Genomic DNA, 26,789 nt, shown 5'->3' on the forward strand with positions numbered 1-26,789 from the left:
CTAGAAGTCGGGGAAAATGCAGGAAGTGGAGAAGAGAGTAGCATATAAATTATACGTATACATGGGTCAAGAACAAAAGGTATCAACTGAGGCTCAGGGATCCTAAGAGACATTAAGAATTTAGTAAGGATATGAACCTGTTCAAATGAAAGCTTTCAGTTGGGGTTACAGCAAGAAACATGCCTAATAAATCAAGTGAGGAGATTTTATATTAAATTAGAATTCAAGAAAATAGAATTAGTTTTTATCCTCTTTAGACAATGACAAAGTTATGACATGTTTGAGCAGAAGAGTAACGTAATAAAACTTGTGTTTTCGAAGTGTTTTATCTAGCTTTTTGGCCAGCCTAGCCAAACATTTACTTGGGATATCCTCTTGAAATATTGTGCAAGATACTGAAGTGTCTTTGAATAGCTCATGATCTAGGAATATGTTGCATGTTTAAACAAAGCTGAGAATTATCTGACAATGTGACTTAACAGAGACATTTTAATAATATTACAGGGAAATTGAAATATAACCAACTAACTCAGGAGACATCATGGAAGATGTCACACAGTGAATGATGATGAAGCAGAATTTTTAAAATGTGTAGGATTACGAGAAGTGGGCAAGTACTTATGAAAAGATACCATAAACAAAACCTATTTTACTTCAGACATTCTCTAAACTTTATTTCAACCTTTAGAAACTGTGAATAAGTACATTTGTCCTTCAAAGTTATATAAATTAAAGGGCTATTTTGCCATATAAATGAAAGTATTTCCAATTCCACAAAAATGTCTTATGATCAACAAATGAATCTTGGTATTTATAAAGTTCTGGTTGTTACTGATATTTTATAATCTGACCTAGCTTAACTGTCCAGGTTAATTTCCCACCAATTTTCAATAGGCACATTTCATTTTGACCAAACCAGGTTACAACTGAAACTATCGTATCTTAACCAATCTGTAGTAGTATTTAATTAAAAATACTTGTTAAAGCAGTAAATTGAAAATTATACTTAGGTATTATAAACATTGCATTTAACATGAACCATATACATAGATATTCATTTGTCAAACTTTTGTTGTAGGGTCATTTTTCTTTGTGTATGGTATTGCTGATGCAGTTTAATGCTCCATTACTTCTAAATTTTCATCATAAGCTAGATTTTCCAGTTGTGGTTTCTATAAAGAAAAACAAACATTCTGAAGACAGTTTTTCCAGATTTATTCCAGATATCGATGATTAACTTTTGAAGGTAAGACTATTATCTTTTCACACATAATTTGACTATAAAATTTTAAATGGCTCACCTTTGTCAAGTAGTTACAAGTAATTTATCATAAAAACTATTGGGAACTAATTTAGTTGATGTATGTAATATTCAAATTAACTACATACTTATCATAGTAATTGTAAGTGGCATAAATAGGATTAGAAAGAAAACCAACTGCTTTTGATGATACAACTTAAAATGAAAAAGAAAGTATATATACAAATGGACCTGATGGGGGAAAAGTGTGATTTAGCTACTTGTGAGCATTTAACATACTGTGAGTACTCCTCAGTATCTTTTTTACAGCGAGAAGGTTATCTGAATAAATGGGTTGGATGGATTTTCCTATAAATGTCTGCTATAATTATCATAATGTTCCAAACTTTCATCTATTTACCTTTTCACATGTTGCCCTCTCTGCTGAAATGCCTGCCCACCTATCATTCTGGGAAATTACTACTCATTTTTTAAAGCTCTAGGAGAAGCAATTTCCCTGGAAATCATTTTCAAATTATTTTTCACTAAAGAGCATCAGGCAACCTTGCATTTGTGTTCCCTCTCTGAATTGCTGTTGTTACTCTTTTTACACAAATGTTAATTATAGCTAATAATTGCTAACCACCTTATTCTTGTATGCTAAGCCCTGTTTTCAGCAATTTATTAGTATGAACTTATTTAATCCTCATAACACCCTCTGAGATTGATACTATTATTATTCTTCATTTTATAATTGTGAAAAGCATATAGAGTTTGAGTAATTGTATAAAGCAACATAGTTATTAGGTAAATGTGTCAGGATTAAACAAACATTCTGTCTTCAGAAGTCATGTTTTTAGGGTCTGTGCTAGTTGTCTTTCAGTCATGCATTGCACTTCGGTTGTTGGTACTCAACAACAAGCAATTGGTTCTTGAGATTAGAATTCTGTCTTTTTCATTTTACATTTTTAATATGGAGCACAATGTCTTGCAAATAATACAGTCCTAACATTGTTTTTGAATAAATGAGTGAGAAATCAAATGGAAATACATTTTAGCCATTTGAACTATAGAGGGCTGTCTAACCTTTCACAGCAGATATGCCTCAGGAAAAGTAGATGACAGTTGCATGTTTCTCATATTCTAGCTCCTCTGTTGATTTGAACATCCGCTGAAGCTTATTTTTCACCTCAGAATAGCATCAACATTATTTGAAATTCAATTGTACTTTCTCGTTACATTAATAAATCATGGAAGTTGAGAAAATTGATGTATCATTGAATGAATTTAAATGACTTTTTTTTGTTTTGTACCATTCTATCCATAAAGTTGAAAGCATTGGTTGTCTGAGTTCATAAAACATCCACTGGATGGATAGGTTAGAGCCATTCTATAGAATCAGTGTCACACAAACCATGTGGGTTGATGGATATTTTCACATCAAACTGTCATCTTGTCTCTGCTGTTACATTATATTTGCTGCCTCAACAGTGACTCAAATTGTTATTTTTTTACAGCCGGTGTCCCAACTACAAAATAGCCCAGTATATTTTTGACCACCCATTTAACTATTTATTGATATCTAAAGGCTTTAGTTTTTTATCATAAATATAAGTCTAAAAAGAGTCTAGATTTTGGATGGTGGCACATATTTAAAAACACATCTATGCATAGGATTCTCGCTGTGGATAGAAATTATTTTACAAATCAGGGTTGACTTGTTGATATAACATTTTGTTCATTACATTTATTTATTTATACCAGTTACCACCCAGCTTATTGGAATGACATTTTATGATGACTACTTCCTGATGCTCCAGGAAGCCTCTAGGGGAATGAGAATGGTCTCTAGGGGACTGGTTATTTGTGTAGGCATTTCTGGTCACAGCCAGAGGATCACACACATATTCACAAATATCTATTAGAAGGCAATTTTCTGTTAAACTGAAGGATTCTGAGTTCTGGGAGATGATTTTACATTCTGAAGGATGCTTCCACCTTTAGATAAGAATGCCAGGCTCTCCCAAAGATGGTTAAAGAGTCTGCCTGAAAAAAGAATGTAAAGAACAGTGCAGGCAGTGGGAACTATGATTTAAATTACAGAGAGAGAACAAAGGAAAAACTGATCTGGGAATAAATAGAGTCACGCACCATTGGAGTTGCATGTGTGAGCAAGTGTGTCTGTATATGTATGTGGGTGTGTGTCCCTGTTTATATTTTGGAAATGAGGTTGAGAGATGTAAAAATAATAAAGATGTAAAAATTAACAAACATGCAAAAAATATCTTCAATAAGGAAAAATTGTTTATATTTTATATAAAATCTACTAAGAAATTTTTAACAGGGTATATACAATCAAATGTCTGTTTTAGAGTGTTTAGTTGTATAAATATGGAAGGAGGAAAGAAATGGCAGAAAGACCAAATATGCTATTCCTGTAACAATCGTGAGATATCTGGACTCTGTACTGAGGTTGTAGCAATGAAGGTAAGAAGAAAAGAAGGATTTGAAAGAATTTAAATAGAGAATTAATAACTCTTGGGAAATTAATATACAGGAGGGGGAGCAGAATGTCAGGAAAAGGGACAATGTGAAGAATGATGGCACAGCTTCTGGCCTGTGCATCTGGGTAGAGAAGCTCATTGAGATAATGAAGGGAAATGTTTAAATATGTTGGTGAGATGAGGGGAGAAAGAGTTTGGGGTAGACAATTGTTTATGGCATAATTTAAGGTTATTCTTATATATTATACAATAGCAGGGCAGTACAGAGGTATCTGGAGCTCAGGGAGAGATTTGAACTGACAGTGTAGATTTGCAAATCCTCACCATATACCTGGCCATTACAGTCACAGGTGCCAGGCTGATCATGAAGACAAGTCTCAGAGTTGTAAATGAACCACCAAGTAGGTAAAAATTACAACAGAATAAAGTCAACATTTCTTGCACTCTGAACATCTCACTGTACTCCACAACACTCACCCTTTCTTAGTTCCTCACTTTGGAAGATGCTGTTTCTTGTATCTGGAATGCTTTCATTGGATTTCCTACTTTAGGCTCTATCCCATTCACTGTCTGACATCTCCTTCACTGGCATTAACCAGTTGTACCTAATATGTGAGTTAGACAAGGAATCTGAAGGCGGTACAGAGCAAAAGGAGCCCGCCATGCTCAACATTTAATTTGATCCATCCTTAGGCACTTATGAAGAGCAAGTTCAAATGGTAATTGTTCCTTGGCTCCCCAGGATGACATCTCTTTGTTGCTTGAGCAATCTGGCCATATAATTTTTATGGTACTTAAATAATTGCTTTATATTCACCTATTTGCATGTCTTTTACTTCTCATGGTGTAACAATTTTTCACTGTCCTTGGGGGTTATTTTTGGTCCTCTAGGAAGCAGATCCCCCAAATAGGATTAGACATACAAGAGATTTACTGGGGAGGAATACCTATGAAGAATAAAGCAGGTGAAGGCAAGAGGATATGACAGTGCCTTTAGACCATGGCACGGGTCTGACACTTGTGAAAGGAAAGTGGAAAAAGTAAGCAGAATTAGGAAAGAATAGGTTCAGATCTCAATGCAATTTTCTGGAAGTCTCCAGTGGCTTTGGAGTGAATGCTGTAGCAAATTTGAATGAGCAGCAATATCCCCTGTGTAGGTGCAAGAAAGGGGATGTGTGCACACACCTTGCCTGCCACACTTTGTATTTTAAATGCTACCTGGAATAAGTATGATATACAATAAATAATTATTATATGAATTAATAAATTTAATGATTAACACTGTACAGTTTTCCAGTAGTTGTAATGAGTTTCCTTTCTTGTACTTAAAAAAAAAAGGGCTTTATTTGCTTGTCCTTTTAAAACCAAATGCATGTACTGGAAGATAAATGGTAAGGGAGAGGTTAACTGACAGAAAGACTTTGATTTTATTAGGATCACATACTCACCAAATGAGATTACTAGCCAGATAAATTATAAAATTGGTAGTTATAGTCCAAAATCAGTAAACATATTTTGGTATTACTACATGTCTATTTGCTTCCCTTTTTATGCCTCACATAGACTTAATTAAGAAGCTGTGGTTACTCTCTCCCATGTTATGCCCTCAAATAAAATTTTTCTATTATTGTTGCTAGTCGTTTATTTATTTGTTTATTTATTTATTTATTTTTATTTTTTTGGAGACGGAATCTCTCTCTGTCACCCAGGCTGGAATGCAGTGGTGCTATCTTGGCTCACTGCAATCTCCACCTCCTGGGTTCAAGCACTTCTTCTGCCTCAGCCTCCCGAGTAGCTGGGACTACAGGCACACGCGGCCACGCCCGGCTAATTATTTGTATTTTAGTAGAGACGGGATTTCACCGTGTTGCCCAGGCTGGTCTCGAACTCCTGAGCTCAGGCAGTCTGCCCGCCTCGGCTTGCCAAAGTGCTAGGATTACAGGTGTGAGCCACCGCGATTGGCCTGTTGTTAGTCATTTCTATACTACTTATAGGGAAGGGAAATTAGCCACACAATAACATTGTTATCATAACAAAAATGTCGGACTCCTATTGCTTCAGTAGAAATTAATATTGGAAATTAATGAACATCTTAATTAATTTTAAGAATTTTTTTTCAGTTGAATTGAAGCCCTTTTACTTAAACAATGCAAATCGATGGGTTTTCAATAGTCTGTTATTGTTCACTGAAATGATGGAATAAATTTAAGATGTTGAAGTAAATAAAATTTGACTAAACTTTAAAAATCTCGCATTTTATTTTCACTTGATTTAAATTTTATTTAAGTATCATCCTTCATTTTGAAATAGATAGAATAATGACATGGTTTTCTATACAAAGTATAATATATTTTTCTTCCTAATAACTTATTTTCGGCTTTTTTGTGTGTATATGATAAAAATGTGCTATTTTTAGAAATAAATGCATATATTTCTAAATGTGAGATTGTCTGAAGACATACAAATATGATGTATTTGACCAGACTGAAAGTGAAATATGATTTTTAATCTGAATAATAAAATTAGTAATTTATGTAAAATAATTGTGTTTTCTTTTTGCATGCTAACCAAACATTTTACATTAAATACATCAGGTCAAAAATAAAATTTAATCTTGAGTTAAGTTCAAAATTACAGATTTATTTTAAATAAGATTTTTTTTAAGAAGAAACTAGGATAACATTTTATATTAAACATGTATGTGCTTTAGTTTTCTAGGGCTGCCATAAGTAAGTACAACAAACTGAGTGGCGTAAAAGAACAGAAATTTATTCTTTCACAGTTTTGGAGGCTGGAGATTTGAAATCAAGGTGTCGACAGAGTTGAATAATTTTTTCTCTGAAGAATCTAAGGGAGGCTATTTTCTTGCCCCTTTCCAGCTCCGTAGTTTCTGGTCATGCTTAGCGTTCATAGGCTGGTCAATATATCACTCTGATCTTTGTCTCTGACTTCAGATTGACTTCCTTTCTTTGTGTCTTTGATCTCTCTCCCTGTTGTTATAGGATGCCAGTCAGACAGGATTTAGGACTCACTCTACTTTAGTATGTCCTTCTCCTAACCTAATGAATTCCATTTCTTAAGATCTTATTTTCAAATAAAGTTGCATTCTGAGTTTTCAGGAAGGATTTGAATTTATTAAATAATTTAAATATATATTTTATACTTTTTTAATGGCATGGATAAAGTGTTTAGACAGTTTATTAAATGCTATGGGAGAAAATTATACTGTTAGTCTAAAGCAAAATAACCGAGTTGGTCACTATTGGCCCAAACTCTAATTAATATACACATATACCCATTTATGTGACTGTATCATTATTATAGAGTGATCAATCAACTTAGTGCTCTGGGGTTGTGGGGCTGTACCCCAAACTGTATCATTTGTAATATGAACATTTCCAGTACTTATCTTTTTAACACTTGTTAAAAATTAAAACATGTAGCTAAAATATATTAGTTACAAATAATGTGATACAGTACATATACTTAACAGTCTTCATTCCATTCTCATTGAGAATGAGAAGCAAGAATTTACCTAAAACATTTATGAAAGCCTGAGTGGTGAAATAGGACTTGTGATACAGGGAACAGATCATCAAGAGCATCAGTTGGGAACCTGAAAGGAAACAGAGAATAAGCTCCATGTGAGTTATTTGCAGAGGGTTTAATAAATGAATTATTTTAAAAGATGGGCACAAGGTGTAGTGGAGCTTTAAGGTATCCAGTACCCAGTAGCCAAGATCTTTCCTTTCCTTGACCTATATGGAGAGGGGAGGAAGCAGTTCCTTGGAACCCAGAGACAAAGAGACTAAGGAGAGAGGATCACCTTATAGATGCTGGAAGAGTGGGTCATGTATTCAATCAAATGAAACCAACCTCAAAAAGGGGAAGCTGGAGTAATTAATATGGCTTAAACTTTCCCCCTCCACACTCCTGCCAGTCTCTTCATTGTCAGATTATAACCAGAAGCCAGAAGCAAGACAGTCCATTGATGTGTCCACACAGAGCAGTCTCAGAGCACAGACCTGGGTGGACAAGGATATACCGTAGAGCTGAAAGTCCAGCCAGTTTAATTTCATATCAATCCTACAACATTGTTTATACTTTTTGATAAAAGTTAAAGAATACTTCTATTTAAAATTTCATTTTTAATATGTTTTTATCCTAGTGTCAAGCTTTCTTTTTGTTTTATAACTGAAAGTGGAAGTGTAGGTGGATCCTATAATCAAAATTGTAATGGGGGTAGGGAATCACTGTGTCATTGGTTTTTTGTTACATGTAGAAGCAAGCACTCTACAATTGACAGTGACATTACATGGTGTTTGCGTAGTGGGCAGCAAATTCATTCTAGCATGCTTTACAGCAATTGCTGCCATTTGATAAGTAACTCCATATGGACTGAGGCCGAAGCACTAAATCATTGTGTCTCCTTCATGCCAAGCACTGATTCATTGCAGTGTCTTGCACTGCAACTTATTGCTACTACATTTTAGAAAATATACTTGTTTTCTCTCAAACACGTTATATTTAATTTATTCTTGCTGTGGTTGAATTTGACTATGCTTGTTATTTTAGCATCACCATGTGCATGGTGAACTATTTTTAATCAGACATCTACTTATAATCATATCATAGTTTGAAGGGACCTTAAAGGTCATATAATCTTACTTCTCACCACATGCACACCATCCCCAAATAATAGTCATATATCTGGCTTCTGCTTGAATAATTCCAATGACAGGGAACTGACTACTTGAGATGCAGCCTTTTCTATGCTTGGCTAGCTTTCATTGCTAAAAGTTCTCCCTTATGTTGAGTAGAAATTTATTAACTCTATTTTCCACCTCTTGGTCCTAGATCTACTCTCTAGAACAATAAGTTAAACTTTATATTCTTTTGTTAACTCTTAAATATTCACTACTGCAGGCTTTTTTGTGAAGCACACATTATTTGAAGTATATACAGTGTTCCGTAAAAATCATATAGAACAAATTTGTTCTGATCCCTGTTTTAGGAAGCAGTGGGTCTTTTTAGATTCTATATGGAAATTCTAATTAAAAATCAAACTATAATCATAAAAGTGTAGAACTCAAAGGGCTGTTCGAAAGTATATAGTGGTATCCTGATTCTCTTTTGGACCCCATGGTATAAGTAGTATATGTAGAAATTTAAGGAAAAAAATTCATTTCTATATGAATGGCATTGTTTATGAAGAATTTTAATCTCAAAGCCTAAACTTGAAGTACAAAATGACATAAAGATGGGAACAACAGACACTGGGGACTACTAGAAGGTGAAAGAAGGGAGACAATTATGGATTGAACAACTATCTATTGGGTACTATGCTCACCACCTGGGTGAATGCACCCTCCCTATCCCAAATGTCAGTATTGCTCGATATACTCATGTAACAATCCTCTGCGTGTATCCCCAGAATAAAAATAAATAAATAAATAAAAATGAAAAACAGAGATAACATGATAATCCTTGTGAAAAATCTGGTGGAACCTATTAAAAATTATTAGAATTAGTAAGTGAATTTTGCAAAGTGTCAACAAGCAAAACTCAATTGCTTTTCTACATGCTAGCAGTGAAAAATCAGATACAGAAAAAAAAAGTATTTTTATTTTACTTTTTTCTTTTTTTTAACTATACTTTAAGTTCTGGGGTACACATGCAGAACGTTCAGGTTTGTTACATAGGTATACGCGTCCCATGGTGGTTTGCTGCACCCATCAACCCTTCATCTACATTAGGTATTTCTCCTAATGCTATCCCTCCCCTTGCCCCCCACCCCTCAAACAGGTGGTTGATGTTACCCTCTCTGTGCCCATATGTTCTTATTGTTCAACTCCCACTTATAAGTGAGAACATGCGCTATTTGGTTTTATGTTCTTGTGTTAGTTTGCTGAGAATGATGGTTTCCAGCTTTATCCATGTCCCTGCAAAGGACATGAACTCAATATTTTTTATGGCTTCATAGTATTCCATGGTGTATATGTGCCACATTTTCTTTATCCAGTCTAACATTGATGGGCATTTGGGTTTGTTCCAAGTCTTTGCTATTGAGAGTAGTGCTGCAGTAAACATACGTGTGCATGTGTCTTTATAGTAGAATTATTTATGATCCTTTGGGTATATATTCAGTAATGGGATTGCTAGGTCAAATGGTATTTCTAGTTCTAGATCCTTGAGGAATCGCCACACTGTCTTCCACAATGGTTGAACTAATTTACACTCCCACCAATAGTGTAAAAGCATTCCTGTTTCTCCACATCCTCTCCAGCATCTGTTGTTTCCTGACTTTTTAATGATCACCATTCTAACTGATGTGAGATGGTATCTCATTGTTGTTTTGATTTGCATTTCTCTGATGGTCAGTAATGTTGAACTTCTTTTCATATGTTTCTTGGCCACATAAATGTCTTCTTTTGAGAAGTGCCTGTTCATATCCTTTGCCCACTTTTTGATGGGGTTGTTTGTTTTTTTCTTGTAAATTTGTTTAAGTTCCTTGTAGATTCTGGATATTAACCCTTAGTCAGAGGGATAGATGGCAAAAATGTTCTCCCATTCTGTAGGTTACCTGTTCGCTCTGATGATAGTTTATTTTGCTGTGCAGAAGCCCTTTAGTTTAATTAGATCCCATTTGTCAATTTTGGCTTTTGTTGCCATTGCTTTTGGTGTTTTAGTCATGAAGTCTTTGCCCATGCCTATGTCCTGAATGGTATTGCCTAGGTTTTCTTCTAGGATTTTTAAGGCTTCAGGTCTTACATTTAAAAATTTAATCTATCTTGAGGTAATTTTTGTACAAGGTGTAAGGAAGGGGTCCAGTTTCAGTTTTCTGCATGTGGCTAGCCAATTTTCCCAACACCATTTTATTAAATAGGGAATCCTTTCCCCATTGCTGGTTTTTAGTAGGTTTTTCAAAGATCAGATGGTTGTAGATGTGTGGTGTTATTTCTGAGGCCTCTGTTTTATTTATATATCATAAAGTATGTTAAATAATCAGTGATGGATCTTCCAAAAATATAAAACAACTCTACACTAAAAACTTTAAACATTGTTGAAGGAAATTAAGAAAGACCTAAATAAACAAAATCCATATTGAATTCATATTTTGAAAGACTAAATGTTATTCCTTCCAAATTGTTTATAGATTAAATATGATCCCAATAAAATCCCAGCAATGTAGAAACTGAAAAATTAATCCTAAAATTCATATGGAAGCACAAAGGACCCAGAGGAGCCAAAACAACTTCCGAAAAGAACAAAGTTGGAGAATTAACATGACCTGATTTCAAAACTTATTATAAAACTACAATAATCAAAACAGTAGTACTGACATAAAGGCAAATACATCAGTGGAACAGAATGAAAAACACAGGAAGACTCACTCATATAAAAGCAATTGATTTTTCACAAAGATGCTAAAACAAATCAGTGGAGAAAGGATGGTCTTTTCGACAAATGATGCTGGGAATATTGGATGTATACAAACTAGTATATCTGCACAGTGGAATTCTCATTAATGAAGATAAATAAACCTACTACATTCAGTAGTAGGTGATACCCACTACATCATGAATGCATCTCAATGTAATTACGCTGAGTAAAGAAAAACAGTCAAAAAAAGAGTACATACTATATGATTGCTTTTTTATAAAATTCTAGAAAGTGAGAACTAACATGTAGATACAGAAAGCAGATCAGTCGTTGCCTGGGGTCGGGTCTGAGGGGAGAGAGAGATGAGAATTCAATATTACAGAGGGGCATGAGGAAACTTTGGGGCATGCTTCATCACCTTGAATGTGGTGATGGTTTCAAAGATGCATATGGATGTCAAAACTTATCAAATTGTATCCTTTAAAAATATATAGCTCATCTTATGTCAGCTAAATTTTAGTAAACCATTATTAAAACCTAAAAAAGAAAATGGATCTGAATTTTTAGTGGTGCCCGTTGTTTTGCTTTTTCTATCTAAATCTGAAAAATAGAAGAGAAAAGGTGAATATATTAACAAGAATGCTGTGAAAACATAACTATTGGCTATATATTAATCATTCATTAAACATTCTGAACATATATACCTAACATGCTATAGCCTAAGTGCACTTTCCCTAAAATGTAATCCTCCAATGTTCCTTTCTCCACCATCCCTCTTTCCTTTTTATACTACTCATTCCCCTGCTTCTTGTTCATCTTCTCTCCCAAACTTTTCTCAACTTTGCCTGCTAGGCAGTGGTCTATTCTGCTAAGCAAGTCTTACCATGGATTCAAGGAAGTGTAGTTGATTTAGTTACTGATAAGTAATTATTTACACAGTCAGATGGCAAAAAAAAAAGTTAGCGAAAACTATGGAAATGACTTTATTCCAGGCCTTAGTTCTGTACATCACACTCTGCCTACATTGGGTTTCTAAGCACTAATGTCTTGCAAATAATTTTTTAAAACTGTCATCTAATATTATCTATCTTATTTGAATTTCATTCCACTAAAACTTGTTGCAGATATTTAGATTTGGGAAATGTCTCTGAGGTATGCCCTTTAATGTAGCTGGAATCTAATTTTGTTCTTAAGATAGCTAACCCTCATATAGTAAGTATCTTGCTCAAATTTCTTTTTCATTTTGTCAATTAATAAGGCAGCATCTGAAAAATTGAATCTTATTGAAAAAATTCAGATAATTCATTTTGCTCATGTAGGTACTACTATGGCTAAGGAGACTGTAAATTCTAACAATTTATTAAATATAAAAATTTAAATTCTCAGCTCATCCAGAATATTTAATACTTTCTGTAATATTTCATATATACTCTACACTTTAAGACAATCTTATTTCTTTTCTTCTGAATGATGTACTTAAATTAATGTTTCCACATAAAATCATTCAATTTAACAAATCATATAGCCAAAATAAAAATATTATTTAGTATTATATAAATTATTTACAGTCAAATGGATTAGTAATCCAGGATGATTTATATATTAGTTAAGTAAATAATATAGCTACAATGGAATTGGGTTAAGAAATAATCAAATTTAATGGTATCACCTTTATTTATATTCATAACAACACTTTAATGCCATTTTTACTAATTTGCATCTCTAACTAGGGCTTGTTAACAAAGTATAAGGCCATCAGAAAGCATAGGGAAAAAAACATTTGCTATGGTAAAATAACATAATCGCTTCCCTGTAATAAGCAATCCTTAACATACAAACTGTATTTAAAGACAATTTTTATAAAGACTATTGTTTAAGTCACTTTTTGGTACCTGTACTTAACTATAAAGTTTCAAAAGCAAAATAATTTTCTACATGAACCCTAGAATAATTAGTTTTAAATGAAATTTTGCATAATGGGTAAACATTTTTTCCTTGGAACAGAACAGCTGTGTACTTTAGGTAATGTCAACATATTTATGGAACTATTACATCATTTGTCCAATGCACTCTTTATGCTGCATTACACAAATGAGGTGCAACCAGCAGGATATTATTTATGTTGCACTGTAGTTTTGAAAGTGACACCACAATCTTTTTAAAGTTATTAATTTAGCAATGAAAATATAGAATTCTTTTTTCCTGATAGTCACAATATCCAGGTTCTTAAAAAAGGAGAAAAGTTTACATGACATGCTTGAATCTTTATTTGTTTGCATTTTAGTAACAGATAAACATAGTAAAGAAAAAAAACAAAAATTTCCCATGGTTCAAAGTACAGACTATTTGATCAACATGTTTTCAACCATTTTGAAGATGTGTGACCTCTAGATCATTTCTACCAAAAACTGAATTGAACTGGAATAATTTAGGAGTTTGGGATTTCAGCAAGGCTTCCTGAGCTGTGTCAGTGATTTATTATTAACTGACACCTTTTGGAGATCTGTCATGAAAGAAAAGGTTCCTCTCTGAGCTCTGTTTTTCAAGTCTTGATATATAGCAGTGTTTTTATTTTTCCCATGTTTGCAAACTGTGGGCTTCAGTTACCAGCTTCCTGGTCTGACAGCACTGCTCCAAAGCACAAATGAGCAGCTAAAACACTATATTACCCAGCACCTGATGTTGGGTTCCTCCTAGCTCACACACATGAGAAGCAGTAATGATTTTTCCTCCTATCCTAATTGGCCCTCACTCTGTTATAGGTTCTTTGTAGTTTCAGAGTGATGATTAAGCACAATTAGAATGGAGAGAGAAGGAAAAAATGTTTACTGTATGGATAATTAGGCACTGTGTAGGTCTTCACATATGTTATTAATCATTTCTTTTCTGATGTAATGACTCTTTACATCTCTCTACTGAAGTACTCAGATTCCTGATTAGATCTTCCAGTGAAACATGCAGTCTTGGTTTCTGGCTGGTCTTTTTTCCACATTTCATATTTGCTTTTTATACTGGCAAACAAAAGAACTATGCATTCTTTCTTTCTTTCTTTTTGCTCATCTCCCTGAAAGCCTAAATTCCAGCCAAGTCTAAGAGGTAAGTTCCAATGATTGCCCATTTTCCTGAGTCTCATCCTGGCTGCCCTTGCCTTCCAAAGTGGAAGGTACCAACATATTACTTGTCTTTTATTTTTATTTTTTAATATTGGAAAAACAGAAATAAATACAGGAACTCTGAGCATCACTTTTCTGTTCTCTTCAAAGGTAGAAATGAGACTTGAACTCTTTATGAATCTTAGATATATATATACACACACACACACACACACACACACATAACCTTTGGTTATTCAAATCAAAGGTGAAATAGGACATTTTCAGACAAAAGTTGAAAAACTTTTCCTTGGTCTAACTGAGTCTTACTTTGACATATATCTTATAAAACCCAAACTGATAGCACACCAAAACAGATTTCTAGATGTCTGTCTCTGTATAACATTCTAGTCATTGGTATTCTGCTCTGCAATTCCAGCTGCCTTTGACTCTCTGAATTTTGATTCCTGTCTTCCAATCTCAGCAAAGTCACTGCATTCAGGCATCCCTACACAAGTCTCTAGTAAATGTTTCAAGGCAGAAAGCTGGTTTCATCAAACCACTCACTTGACTAGTTTTCCTAATTGAGCTGAGACAATATCTTTAATCAAATAAAAACAGTAAGGGTAGAAATAGTAAGGTAAAAAAGAGGTTGGTGTTTTTACTTTCTCTATTTAGGTAAGCCAGTGGAACTGAATATAGATAGTCCCTGACTTACAGTGGTCTGACATACACTTTTTTCAAAATTTTTTATGGAGTCTTGCTCTGTCACTCAGGCTAGAATGCAGTGGCATGATCATGGCTGACTGCAACCTCCACCTCCCAGGCTCAAGCAATTCTCCTGCCTCCACCTCCCGAATAGCTAGGATTACAGGCATGCACTGCCACATCTGGCTAATTTTTGTATTTTTAGTAGAGACGGGGTTTCACCATGTTGGTCAGGCTGATCTTGAACCCCTGACCTCGTGATCCACCTGCCTCAGCCTCCCAAAGTGCAGGGATTACAGGTGTGAGCCACCGCACCCAGCCTGACATATGCTTTTTTGACTGTGATCATACAAAAACTAAACTCATTCAGTGCCCATACAACCATTCCATTTTTCACTTTCAGTACAGTATTTAATAAATCGTGAAATATTCAACACCTTATTATAAAATAGGCTTTGTCTTAAATGATTTTGCCAGATTGCAGGCTAATGTAAGTGTTCTGAGCACATTTAAGGTAGACTAGGTTAAGCTATGATGTTCGATAGGTCAGGTGTATTAAATGCACTTTTGACTTATAATATTTTCAACTCATGATGAGTTTATCCGGACCAATCCCATTGTAAGCTGGAAACATCTGTAAAGTTTCCTACTTGTTTACATCAGTGTTAATGCTTTGCATATCTACAGAGCTAACCTACTGGGATATGAATGGGCACATTTGTTCCTTTTATCCTGTAAAACTACCTAGATCTCTCCAAACCAGCATAACTTAGTGTAGAATGACTTTTTTAAAAAAATCAAACTTTTTCAAAAATAAAATTTTATAACAGAAGCAATACTAATTACATATGCCTTTCTAGTGATAAAAATTTATACAATGAAGAGAGTATCTGTGAATTTGCACCAAGCAGTTGTAAGCACCACCTTTTTCACAGTTTAATGAACCAATTTGAACTAGTAGATAATTTTTATAGAATTGTATAAAAACGTTATCTGAACATCTGGAAATATTTTCAAAAAATTAACAAAAATTGACTTTTTTCTCTGCTTTGTGAAATAAGAAATGAATATGTGTCTACAGATCAAAAACTACATCAGGCATTATTCTGGTGACCTCATAAGATTTCATTTAATCTTCATCAAAGCCCTTTGAGTTATATACTATTATTTCTCCTTTCTATACAACTGAACTTAAGATAGAACAAGTTTATTGATTTCCCAAGATCTAACAGTGCTGGAATTTCAACCTAATTATTTTACTCCAGAAACTGTTTTTTTTCCCTAAGCATAATACTTTTTGATTATTACGTCTTACCATCTCCTAATTGCACACTACATGTTGTAATTATACATCCAAAATTCTTACAAGTGCAGTGGGCAAGATATAACAGAAAATGCTTTTCTCCTTTTCTCCTTCCCTCTGAACTCCAAGTCACGTATGTGTATGACTAATATATAGATACAGAATTTAATAGAATGGAAACAAAGGAAGGAAGACACGGTCTAGTGTCCACACATACCAGCAAAACAAAACAAAACACCAATTGTGATATTTGTTTCTGAAAAAATCTGTATTTTTCTGTTTTTTCACAATGCCTCCATTTTTCTCTCCCCTCTCTTCTATTCTCTCATGGCCCCATCTTCTTTCTTGCTCTCTTCTCTTGCCTCTTCCATTCCTGCAACTTTTAGCCTATGTTCAGTATCTACTAAGGTTTTCCAACATTTTTCTTCTTTTAGTGGATTAGTTCATTTTCACACTGCTAATAAAGACGTACTGGAGATTGAGTAATTTATAAAGAAAAGAGATTTAATGGACTCACAGCTCCACATGGCTGGGGAGGTCTCACAATCATGGCAGAAGGCAATGGAGGAGGAAGGCACGTCTTACATGGTGGCAGGCAAGAGAGAGCATATGCAGGGGAACTGCCCTTTATAGAACCATCAGATCTCATGAGACTTATTCACTATCACGAGAACAACTTGGGAAAAATTTGCTCCCATGATTCAATTACCTCCCTCCAGGTCCCCTCATGATACATGGGGATTATTATAATTCAAAATGAGATTTGGGTGGGTACACAGAGCCAAACCATATCATTTAGTCATCATCTTTGTTCCCTATAAAGTTAGGTACGTGTCCTAAGAGGCCTAACAAAAGCAAGTTATCTCAATAATTCAAGTAAAAATATGTCATACAATCTGCTAAGAGAATATGTACTCTTTGTGTTATTGTACATGTGTATTTTTAATATAAAAGTTCAAATTTAACTGTCAATATAAGTTAAAATCAACAACAAAAAGTAAATATGAACTCTAATGCTTCCAAAGCAGTGCTACATAACAATTAAAATATATCTGAAATTTTGCACTTCATATATATTTTTTTCTTTTCTTCACTCTACTAGGTAGACAGGTACTAATACAATAAGAATAGTTGATAACAATGAAACAGTAATATCAGTGAAAATTAAGCCTAAATAACTCTTTTTAATACTCATAGGATATAATATAGTTGACATCATAGATTATTAATATTTTATAAGTATAAGGACACTTAGTCAATTCCTGAGATATAATTAAATGTAAAAAACAGAAATGATTTGGATTTACTGATGCAGACTGAGAATCCCTAACCCCAAAATCTAAAATCCAAAATGCTCCAAATTTTGCAACACATAAGTACTTAACACAAACTTTCTTTTATGCACAAAATCCTGACAAACTTTATGTAAAATTACCTTTGATCTATGGGTATAAAGTGTATATAAAACAATAATGAATTTTGTGTTTAGTCTTGAGTTCCATCCCCCAGATATTTCATTATGTATATACAAGTATTCCAAACACTGGAAAAATCAGAAATCCAAACTTCTGGTTCCAAGCATGTCAGATAAGGGGTATTTGACCTGTGTGAATCCCAACAACAAATTGGTAATGCAATTATTTATCAATATTCTAAAGGATTTTCTTAAAACTTGTGAGTGATTTACATTCACACTTACCTTTGTGCTATAGCCTAAAATAATATAAAAATTGAAGAAATGATGTCAAAGTGCCAGAGCAGCTTTGATAGTCTACATGCTGTTACTTTATACTTAGTGAACATGACACAATAAAACAGTTGGTGTGTTTCACAATTGCAAGCCTTTCCCAGTCGTGTTACAGCATTTTACTTCATGTGTGCATGTATGAGTGTGCATATGTGCATTTATGGTTGTTATACTCCTTTTTTAAATCAAAAATACAAACATTTGATTTAGAAAATAAAATAGTAAAATCCCCAAGCAATTTGACCCTGATGAGTTAAAACTGAATTAGTTATATAAGAATAAATATAACATTTTTGGGGGGACATGCAATAATTGATATAACATTTCAGAATTATTTCTTGAATCATGATAAGTTTTTAAGTGAGCGAAGGCACAGATAATTCAAATAATTATGTCAAAGTAACTTCTATTAGGGCCTTGAGAGGTCTAAAAGTTATTATAAGGAAAGTGTTTTAATGATCAAAGAAACAAACGTTAGAATTTGGAAAATAACCTGAATTATCCCTAAGTTTGTCACTGTAGCGTAGAAGTAATACAGAAAAGAAGCCCCTACAAACTATTTTAATAGGAGTTACTGAAGAAATTAAAATGTTTAGCATTGGGAATAACCTAATTTGCTCACTATTTTCCAGAGTTTCTAGGACAATAAGCTCATTACAGCTGAAAGGCCAACTGAAGGATTTTTTTTTTAATGAGAAGACTGTACTTGTCATGACTGGAATAATTGGTAGCATTTTATTTAGAAACATTTTTTAAAGTAAAACACAATAATAATTCGGCTATATTGCTCTAAAATCTACACTAAAATTAAGCATTTAGTTATATGGCATTATATACCTTTTAATCTTAGGAGAAATAATAATATAAAAATTCTCTTAAGAGTAAAATTGCCATTAACCAAGATTAATAATAGAGATAAAAGTATTAAATGCTAATTTACAGAAGACCTATGAGACTTTCAATACACAGATAGCTAATGCCAGAATGTTTTAATAACTTTTTAATTGTGTGTTAATTATTTATTCATTAAATTGTTTATTCTAGTACTTCATCCAGAGTCTCTGGTGGTCCTGGATGAAGAAATTTAAGCCCTTCCTTGCTTGTAAACAACCAAGTAGGCATTTTTATTGCATTTAAATTAGTTGTGATGGGAAAACGTGTGAGAACAGGCATGGAACTCTGTCAGACTTCATGAACTTTCACTTACCCCTGAATCATAAATCTCAACATTTAAATGTTAGCTCTAAAATTAATATGATTATGTTGACATCATTTTTGGACCCTAACTAGATTATATGAATTTATAGTAAATGTATGTCATAGAGCTGGGCATGGTGATGCACACCTATTGTCCCAGCTACTCAAGAATGGTGAAGCAGGAGGATCACTTGAGCCCAGGAGTCCTGGGTTGTAATGCACAATGATCACACGTAAATAGCCATTGCATTCTGGGCTGAGCAACATAGTAAGACCCTGTTTATAAAAATAAATACATAAATGTATATCACTGGAAGATCAGGACATATTATTTATAATCAGAATTTTCTATTACATGGAACCATAACTAAGCAAACAATATATCCTTTCTTTTACAATTACTTATGAGTCAAGGATATGGACTAATACAACATGATCTCTTTCCTTGATGTGATCATGATCTAGTGGAAGATACAGTGGTGAAAACAAAGTACTAAAATATGATGAGATAACGGTAGAATATTGTGAATTTACAAAGGAGAAGGCAGAGTTTGGACATTAATATTCAAACTAGCTTTTGAAGGATCACCAGGATTTAACCAAATTAAAGAAGTTATTCCCAAGGAAATGCCCAACAGCTTTAGAAGATGTTTTAGGAGCAGCAAGATTAAAGGGAATAGAGTATAGGGACATATATACAGAGAAGAAGATAAAACTGAATGTAAGTGTGCATTTCACTAGTAAATAGTACTTTTCATCAATGTTAAATTTTTTATTTTGTTTCATAGATAGCAAACTATGACTCTCAGTTTGTTATCTGCAAAATAAAATTTTAAAATATATTGCAAAAAGTTGATAAATTGTATTTTCCCTTTGCAAAAATAATTCTGGTATCAAAGGAAAATATGGATGAAAATGCTGATTTCCTTGAGGGTAAGGAGAACAGAGAGAATAGATAAACACTATAGATAAGAGATAGTTAAGGTCTGAGCAAGGAAATGGCAATGGGGTTGAAAAGCAGCAGGGCAATTTTAGGAAACTCTGCTGAGGTTGTTAACTGATTCTATGTGGGTGCAAAGTGGATAAATTGCCAAGTATAATTCTTAAGTTTTTAGCTTGGGGTTATAATGAAGCTATTAACTAACATGAGGGATTACACAGAAGTGGAATTAATTTTAATCGTGCTGGAGGTGCTTGCTTTTTTGTGTCCTAATATATCCCAGGACTTAGATGTGCCTTTTCTTTTCCATTGGATCCTATTACACTGGAAGCACTGGGTGGGCAGCACTAGAATTCTAACAAGGACTTTCACTAGTTTTTGTAGTCAAAAAAGTCCACTGGGTCATGTACAATTTACAGAATGGGGAAAGGTAGTATAAAAAGATCTGAGATTTAGATTTTTGACAAACTTGTGAAATTACCTAACCTCAAGTTTCATAGGGAAGTTAAATTTTCAGTATATCAATTTACATCTGTAAAAGTAGAAAGTCAATTCCAAAGAAGTTTTTCAGTCATGCAAAAAAATCAGGAAACATTCAATGTAAGTGTATACGCAAGGGTCCAGAGATCAGGAGCTCATAGGAGGCAACGAGAAAAGCACATGCCCGTAAGGTGAATGCCAATTACCTGGTAAGTATGTTTGATCTTTGTACTGTGTGATGGTGCACTCAGCACCCAGCAGAGGTGATCATGCACTTTAGAATATCGTTATGCTTGTCACTATACACTGTGACTTTAATAAGTTATGTAGGAACTATGAAAGAAAATATTTCTTAAATGGATTATTTAGTTATCAGGGAATAGAATACAAATACTTGTAGGATCATAAACTTCAGAAAATAATTTCAATTTGTATCAATTAGATGACAGCAACCTACATAGCTCATCAATTATTGAATAAAGTAACTTTTGAGAATATATAAAGTATAAAAATTCATTTAAGTAATTGCTAATACAATTTAATTTCAAAATAATTGTCATTAAAATATATTTATTTACTATCAACTTTTTTTGTGTTTTAAGCGTTTTATATTATTGCAGAAAACAAATTATATGTTAAGAACAGATTTTACAAAAAAACGTTTTTAGATATTGTCAATTAGGTTGAGATGCTAACCCCAAATTTTGTGGAACTGAGGCATTCATTAAAAAAATTACAATGAACTTAGGTTATTTTTTAGATTACAAGTGTTTATTAAAGTATTTTGTTCTCCTACACACACACGTGTGCGTGTGCACACTCATGCACAAATACACATGCACACATTATGTAAGTATATAAGCAAGGTCCAAATGGAAGTTCTGAAAAACAAAATTTTAAGGAGCCAGCTAATATTCATTTACTTTTGAATTTGCAGAATCTTTGTCAATGCTTTGGAAGCATTTATTTTTTCTCAAAATATCAGCCCTGGAAGAGCTCCAGATGTATGAACTAATATTCCACATAATTTTTTTATATAAAAGAACTAATTTTTTAATGCAAGGTGATTTATTTGGGAAAAGTACTTATTTTGACATTAAGAATAGTTCACTACAAAGGTGTGTGAGTTCAAGCCCATTCTGCATCTAGTCTCTTGGACATTGATGATTATTTCTTCTTTAAGCTGAAGAAGAAAAATAAAAATGAAAATTTTAATTTGATTGCTAAAAGATATTTACATTGAAAACTCTAGGAAAAGAGTAAGTTCTCCTTAAATGTTTGATTATAAATGTAATCACATTCCTTGCAAACAGGAAACTTAAATTTCTAAAACGGTACTGCCATGAAAAAATGTCAACCTATAGATTTAAATATTTGTCTCACTACCAACTTGGACATTGGAAAACTGACTCTATAACTTTTTGCTTTGTTTTGTTTTCTATTTGGCCAATAGAAAGAAAAGAAACCAACATCTAGAAGTGAAATATATTTATTTGTTTCTGATCACGGAGAATATAAAATTTTTGTAATAACTTCTAAGAATGTTTTGTTAGCAGTTTCATAACTTCGTTATTTACCACATCATTTTTAAACACTTTGGAGCTAAATGATTTTCTAAATGTCCATGAATACAGAAAACATCTCAGATAAGTGATTGGAGACATACTCTCTTTCCTGTAAGTCATTTCAGTGTTTTTTGAACAATTATATATTATTTTTATTTATTTCTTCAAGTAACAAAAAATTGTTTCTTATATTTGTGGTTGCATCACCATCAAGTATTACTTTGTATGTACTACAATTACTAGAATTACAATTACTAGAACTAATATTAGCTAATATATATTAGCTAATATATATTAGCTTCCTATTCTGTGCCTAGGTCTTAATTTATGAAGGTGACTGAATGACAACTGGGAGAGATCGATGCCATGAAAGTTTAACGTTACTGACATTCCCCCCAGAATCTCGAGGTGCAACACACCAGGCAAGATCACAAGGGAAGCATCAGATTTTGGTCAGGAAACAGAAGCAGGAGTCAGGGGAAAGGCTTAAGCCAGAGCCTTTAGTGGTGTTTCTGCAGGAATACACAGTTTAGGATTGGCCACTTTGAATAATTCCGTCAGGCTTTGGGCTATGAGAGTGGTCTCTATGTGAGTGGTTTTCTATATAAGAGTGGTTTGGAACCTGGCACTGAATTGATTTACTGCAGAGAAGATAGTGGGTTGTTGTGTGAGAGATAAGGAGTTGAGGGGATAAAGAGCCAGGTGAGGGCCTGGCCTTGGATTAGCTAGTTTGATCATAAAAGGCATGCTCCAGGCAAGTTGTCTACCACCCCCAAGAATTAGCTAGGAGAGCTAGTCATTTCCCAAGTCTGGAAGGCCCCCAAGAGATGTCAAAACATCATAAAATATAGAAAATAATAAAACATAATGAATATACTTATTCAGTGAAGATATTAAGCATCTTATGGGGGTTATCTCTTTGATATTCATTTTAAGTGTATAATCCATTATAGTATATAAATATTACATTTCAATTTCAATTTTCCAATTAAAAACTGAGGCTCAAAGAAGTTACCTTATGTGCTCCAGTCTGCATGGTAGTACGGTGGAGGAGCATGGGTTCAAATCCTTACCTATATAGCACAAAATTCAGGCTCCTTGTCACTATACTGTACTGCTTTCCCCAACTATGTAAACAGAATATTCTAAAAACAGGCAGATGAGAAATAGTCAATTTGTGGAATATCTCATAGTAAAAGTAATAAATAAGATCTAGAAGAAAAACATCCTTGATTGATATTATTAAAAATCCATGCATAAATTTCTCTAGGCATAGGAACCCATGGGGATTCTCATTCTATGTTTTGGAGTAGATATCGCAACCTGAAATAATCAATTTAGACTCTGGCATACAGTTCTTTCCATGTTTTTTCACTCCTTATCCTGGCTATCATTAGTTTGTTGAGTGGTCATAATTTAAATAATTAAAATTGCTTACAAAAGTATTTTGACATATGAGAAAATGATCTTGGTTTAATGTTTCTCATGTAAATACATATATTAATGTTTACAGAAACCCAACATATGCACACAAACATGCAAAAACTAAGAATAACCTGGACTTCTAATAAAAGGACACATAGGGCATCTTTACACAACTTTAATAAAACTCTATCTTGAAAACTCTTGACAGAAATATTTACAAATATGAAACAATTTGTTTTACTTGGCAGGATCATCAATCAATAATGACAATAAATAAATAATTACATTTCACATATTCATAGAAATTTTTCATTGACATGAAGTTCAAGTAATTTGATTATTATAATATTTCCTGTTTCAATCAGAATAGGCTATGTTATTCTGAAGTTGCTTAAAAAACAAGATTTATTTATTATTTATATTGTATGTTCATTATGAATTGTCTGGGGCCTCTGTTTTAATTCCATCTAAATGCAATGGGATGTGACTTCTAGCATTTGGAATAACAGTCACCTTGGCAAGGGAAAAGGATCTGATGAGTTCTCCGTGGATGCTGAAATATTTGTACTTGCAAATTACATAGAAATTCTGCAGTTATTCCATTGTCCAAAGTAAGTTACATGGTCCTGACTAACTCAAGGATGTATGTTGAAGTAAGGGAGTTTATTTGTCAACAACCCTAAAAAATACATTTTCCTTTTCACCAAATCAAAGAAGAAACATTAATGATAAACCAAATTTCATGTTAAATTTGTTAAAATATATAAATATATAAAAATCTATTTAAGCATAATAGTAATGCTAAATCTAATGAGGAGTTTTATCTTAATATGCTTTCTGGTGAACAAACAGCACTTAGGGCTCCAGGAAAAATCTCCACATCACTTGCTTTATATTTGAAAAGAAAGTTAATTACATGCAAATATCTTGAAATGTGGGTAATGCTGCCACTACTATTAGAGATAAACAATACTTCAAGTTACAAGGAGGATGTGAACAGCAGAATCTTTTAAATTGCAGAATTACAGCACCATTTATTAAATAGGGAATCCTTTCCCCATTTCTTGTTTTTGTCAGGTTTGTCGAAGATCAGATGGTTGTAGATATGCGACATTATTTCTGAGGGCTCCGTTCTGTTCCATTGGTCTATATCTCTGTTTTGGTACCAGTACCATGCTGTTTTGGTTACTGTAGCCTTGTAGCATAGTTTGAAGTCAGGTAGCGTGATGCCTCCCACTTTGTTCTTTTGGCTTAAGATTGATTTGGCGATGCAGGCTCTTTTGTGGTTCCATATGAACTTTAAAGTAGTTTTTTCCAATTCTGTGAAGAAAGTCATTGGTAGCTTGATGGGGATGGCATTGAATATATAAATTACCTTGGGCAGTATGGCCATTTTCATGATGTTGATTCTTCCTACCCATGAGCATGGAATGTTCTTCCATTTGTTTGTATCCTCTTTTATTTCATTGAGCAGTGGTTTGTAGTTCTCCTTGAAGAGGTCCTTCACATCCTTTGTAAGTTGGATTCCTAGGTATTTTATTCTCTTTGAAGTAATTGTGAATGGGAGTTCACTCATGATTTGGCTCTCTGTTATTGGTGTATAAGAATGCTTGTGATTTTTGCACATTGATTTTATATCCTGAGACTTTGCTGAAGTTGCCTATCAACTGAAGGAGATTTTGGGCTGAGACAATGGAGCTTTCTAGATATACAATCATGTCATCTGCAAACAGGGACAATTTGACTTCCTCTTTTCCTAATTGAATACCCTTTATTTCCTTCTCCTGCCTGATTGCCCTGGCCAGAACTTCCAACACTATGTTGAACAGGAGTGGTGAGAGAAGGCATCCCTGTCTTGTGCTAGTTTTCAAAGGGAATGCTTCCAGTTTTTGCCCATTCAGTGTGATACTGGCTGTGGGTTTGTCATAGATAGCTCTTATTATTTTGAGATATGTCTCATCAATACCTAATTTATTGAGAGTTTTTAGCATGAAGCATTGTTGAATTTTGTCAAAGGCCTTTTCTGCATCTATTGAGATAATCATGTGGTTTTTGTCGTTGATTCTGTTTATGTGCTGGCTTACGTTTATTGATTTGCATATGTTGAACCAGCCTGGCATCCCAGGGATGAAGCCCACTTGATCATGCTGGATAAGCTTTTTGATGTGCTGCTGGATTCGTTTTGCCAGTATTTTATTGAGGATTTTTGCATCAATGTTCATCAGGGATATTGGTCTAAAATTCTCTTTTTTTGTTGTGTCTCTGCCAGGCTTTGGTATCAGGATGATGTTGGCCTCATCAAATGAGTTAGGGAGGATTCCCTCTTTTTCTATTGATTGGAATAGTTTCAGAAGGAATGGTACCAGCTCCTCATTGTACCTCTGGTAGAATTCAGCTGTGAATCCATCTGGTCCTGGAATTTTTTTGGTTGGTTAGCTATTATTGCCTCAATTTCAGAGTGTTATTGGTCTATTCAGAGATTCAAGTTCTTCCTGGTTTAGTCTTGGGAGGGTGTATGTGTCGAGGAATTTATCCATTTCTTCTAGATTTTTTAGTTTATTTGCATAGAGGTGTTTATAGTATTCTCTGATGGTAGTTTGTATTTCTGTGGGATCGGTGGTGATATTCCCTTTATCATTTTTTATTGTGTCTATTTGATTCTTCTCTCTTTTCTTCTTTATTAGTCTGCTAGTGGTCTATCGATTTTGTTGATCCTTTCAAAGCACCAGCTCCTGGATTCATTGATTTTTTGCAGGGTTTTTTGTGTCTCTATTTCCTTCAGTTCTGCTCTGATCTTAGTTATTTCTTGCCTTCTGCTAGCTTTTGAATGTGTTTGCTTTTGCTTCTCTAGTTATTTTAATTGTGATGTTAGGGTGTCAATTTTAGATCTTTCCTGCTTTCCCTTGTGGGCATTTAGTGCTATAAATTTCCCTCTACACACTGCTTTGAATGTGTCCCAGAGATTCTGGTATGTTGTGTCTTTGTTCTCGTTGGTTTCAAAGAGCATCTTTATTTCTGCCTTCATTTTGTTATGTAACCAGTAGTCATTCAGGAGCAGGTTGTTCAGTTTCCATGTAGTTGAGCGGTTTTCAGTGAGTTTCTTAATCCTGAGTTCTAGTTTGATTGCACTGTGGTCTGAGAGACAGTTTGCTATAATTTCTGTTCTTTTACATTTGCTGAGGAGTGCTTTACTTCCAACTATGAG

At 33.8% G+C, this 26,789-nt stretch overlaps 1 long non-coding RNA gene across 1 annotated transcript in view, besides 1 other annotated feature; it reads left to right on the plus strand.

The window, feature by feature from the left end:
- LINC00879 (long intergenic non-protein coding RNA 879) overlaps positions 1-2,504 on the plus strand; it is a 53,066-nt gene extending 50,562 nt beyond the window's left edge. The window contains exons 6-8 of the long non-coding RNA NR_015400.2: positions 505-610; positions 1,079-1,246; positions 2,388-2,504. This is a non-coding gene — a long non-coding RNA (long intergenic non-protein coding RNA 879). The remainder of the gene's footprint in view (positions 1-504; positions 611-1,078; positions 1,247-2,387) is intronic.
- Positions 15,331-15,914: an enhancer, noted in NCBI's record as "OCT4-NANOG hESC enhancer chr3:94722999-94723582 (GRCh37/hg19 assembly coordinates)". NCBI's record gives its function as "activates a minimal SCP1, AML or CMV promoter by ChIP-STARR-seq in primed H9 embryonic stem cells {active_cell/tissue: H9 hESC(primed)}" and the evidence as "EXISTENCE:reporter gene assay evidence [ECO:0000049][PMID:30033119]".

Source organism: Homo sapiens, chromosome 3, assembly GCF_000001405.40.
Source record: "Homo sapiens chromosome 3, GRCh38.p14 Primary Assembly".
NCBI lineage: Eukaryota > Metazoa > Chordata > Mammalia > Primates > Hominidae > Homo > Homo sapiens.